Source organism: Homo sapiens, chromosome 8 (assembly GCF_000001405.40).
Source record: "Homo sapiens chromosome 8, GRCh38.p14 Primary Assembly".
NCBI classification, from domain to species: domain Eukaryota; kingdom Metazoa; phylum Chordata; class Mammalia; order Primates; family Hominidae; genus Homo; species Homo sapiens.
The window spans coordinates 100,850,762-100,853,599 of NC_000008.11; the positions used below are offsets into that span (position 1 = coordinate 100,850,762).

At 51.7% G+C, this 2,838-nt stretch overlaps 1 annotated feature.

The window, feature by feature from the left end:
• Nucleotides 1-668: an enhancer, noted in NCBI's record as "OCT4-H3K27ac-H3K4me1 hESC enhancer chr8:101862990-101863657 (GRCh37/hg19 assembly coordinates)". NCBI's record gives its function as "activates a minimal SCP1, AML or CMV promoter by ChIP-STARR-seq in primed H9 embryonic stem cells {active_cell/tissue: H9 hESC(primed)}" and the evidence as "EXISTENCE:reporter gene assay evidence [ECO:0000049][PMID:30033119]".

Sequence of the window (2,838 nt, forward strand, 5' to 3'; positions counted from 1 at the left end):
GAGAGCTGGGGCCAGAGGGTGTCTGTCTTCTGGCCTCCAGGCAGCTTTTGCTGATGCTGACCAACTCAGCGCTAGGAGAGGCAGAATGAATAGCCTCCATGGCCTGGCTGGCAGCAAAAATTTAGCAGTCAGTATTGGAACAGTGTCATGCCTCAGAGGCCTCAGAGAGGAGAAGGCAGTGTTACAGAAAGCAGTGGCTGTCAAAATGCAGCTCCTTTTGCAGCAGTAGCCACATCACCTGGGAGAGCTTGTAAGAAATGCGCATTTTCCTCAGGTGCTGATACTTTGGGAAGCTGAGGCCGGAGGATTGCTTCAGTGCAGGAATTTGAGATCAGCCTGGGGAATATACCAAGACCTCATTTCTACTAAAAAAACAAACAGACAAAAAAAAAAAAAAAAAGCAGGCATGGTGGTGCACACCTTGTAGTCCCAACTACTTGGGATGCTGATGTGGAAGGATTGCTTGAGTCTAGGAATTTGTGGTTACAGTGAGCTATGATCACGCCACAGCATTCCAGTCTTGGCAAGACAGTGAGAACTTGTCTTTAAGAAAAAAGAAAAAAAAAGAAATACACATTCTCAGGCTCCACTCCAGATCCTTGGAATCAGAAGCTCTGAGGGTGGGGCCTGTGCAATGAGCCCTGCAAGGGTGGCAGGCTGGGGAGCAGGCAAGGGTCTGGTTGTGCAGTTCCAACACTCCCTTCACCCTTGGAGCCAGCCAGTATTCAGTCCTGGGGATCTGTGCAGGGAAGCTGCCGCTCTGCCACAGCCTGAAGTCTTCTCTGCTAAATCCTGCACTGCCCACAGCAGCCCCAGTGGCCAGACCCAGGAACCTGCAAAGCCCTGTGCCGTGTGCCCCGAATGGCATGGGTCCCTGGCTCCTGAAAGGTGCTGAGGAGGCTGGGCCCCCACACTGACATCCATTCTTGGGAACAGCCAGAGCTGCAGCAGACATGGATGAGGGGCTTCTGAGCAGGAGGGCCAGTGTGTACAAAATGCTGGGAGGTGAGTGGGCTGTCCAGGTCCCTTCTAATGGCTGACCCACTCCATGGTAAAAGAACTGGAGAGGTGGCCTGCCATCTCTGTGACTCCCATGACTGAGGCAGGATTAATGCTCACTGTGGAAGACCTCCACGATGTGGCTACGTGGGGAAGCTTTCTGTGTGTTCTCCCATAAACCAAGGGAAGAGTACTGGGGCAAAGCAGATTTTATTAGCTCATACTGAGAAGTACAGAGAGGCACAGGACACAAAAGCTTCTCTAGGGCTATTCCTAGCCTGGGGGACTCAGCTCTCAGGAGCACAGAGCCTGCAGAGAGACATGAGGAGGCCAGAGGCAGTGCCACCCCTGCTTCCAGGAGCCTTCCTTATCTGCTCTGCTGGCAGGAACTGCACCTGTGAAGTTAAAGCAGGGGGGCCAGGCAATGCAGAATGCAGATCTTCAAGCAGTGCACTTTACGTTGACCCTCTATTTACTAGAACATAGATTCATGAGTGCAATATAGATTCATCAACCCGCTTCCACTGGGAGAGTAAAAAATTAAAAAAAAAAAAAATTCCAGGGGGAGGAGCCAAGATGGCCAAACAGGAACAGCTCCGGTCTACAGCTCCCAGCGTGAGCGATGCAGAAGACGGGTGATTTCTGGATTTCCAACTGAGGTACCGGGTTCATCTCACTGGGGTGTGCCAGACAGTGGGTGCAGGACAGTGGGTGCAGCGCACCATGCACGAGCCAAAGCAGGGCAAGGCATCACCTCACCCAGGAAGCGCAAGGGGTCAGGGAATTCCCTTTCCTAGTCAAAGAAAGGGGTGACAGACAGCACCTGGAAAATTGGGTCACTCCCACCCTAATATTGCACTTTCCCAACAGGCTTAAAAAACGGCACACCAGGAGATTATATCCCGCACATGGCTCAGAGGATCCTACGCCCACAGAGTCTCGCTGATTGCTAGCACAGCAGTCTGAGATCAAACTGCAAGGCAGCAGCAAGGCTGGGGGAGGGGCGCCCACCATTGCCGAGACTTGATTAGGTAAACAAAGTGGCTGGGAAGCTCGAACTGGGTGGAGCCCACCACAGTTCAAGGAGGCCTGCCTGCCTCTGTAGGCTCCACCTCTGGGGGTAGGGCACAGACAAACAAAGAGACAGCAGTAACCTCTGCAGACTTAAATGTCCCTGTCTGACAGCTTTGAAGAGAGTAGTGGTTCTCCCAGCACGCAGCTTGAGATCTGAGAAGGGGCAGACTGCCTCCTCAAGTGGGTCCCTGACCCCCGAGTAGCTTAACTTGGAGGCACACCCCAGTAGGGGTGGACTGACACCTCACACAGCCAGGTACTCCTCGGACACAAAACTTCCAGAGCAACGATCAGGCAGCAGCATTTGCGGTTCACCAATATCTGCTGTTCTGCAGCCACCACGGCTGATACCCAGGCAAACAGGGTCTGGAGTGGACCTCTAGCAAACTCCAACAGACCTGAAGCTGAGGGTCCTGTCTGTTAGAAGGAAAACTAACAAACAGGAAGGAGATCCACACCAAAAACCCATCTGTACGTCACCATCATCAAAGACCAAAGGTAGGTAAAACCACAAAGATGGGGAAAAAACAGAGCAGAAAAACTGGAAACTCTAAAAATCAGAGCGCCTCTCCTCCTCCAAAGGAACGCAGCTCCTCACCAACAATGGAACAAAGCTGGACGGAGAATGACTTTGATGAGTTGAGAGAAGAAGGCTTCAGACGATCAAACTACTCCGAGCTAAAGGAGGAAGTTCGACCAATGGCAAAGAAGTTAAAAACTTTGAAAAAAAATTAGACGAATGGATAACTAGAATAACTAATGCAG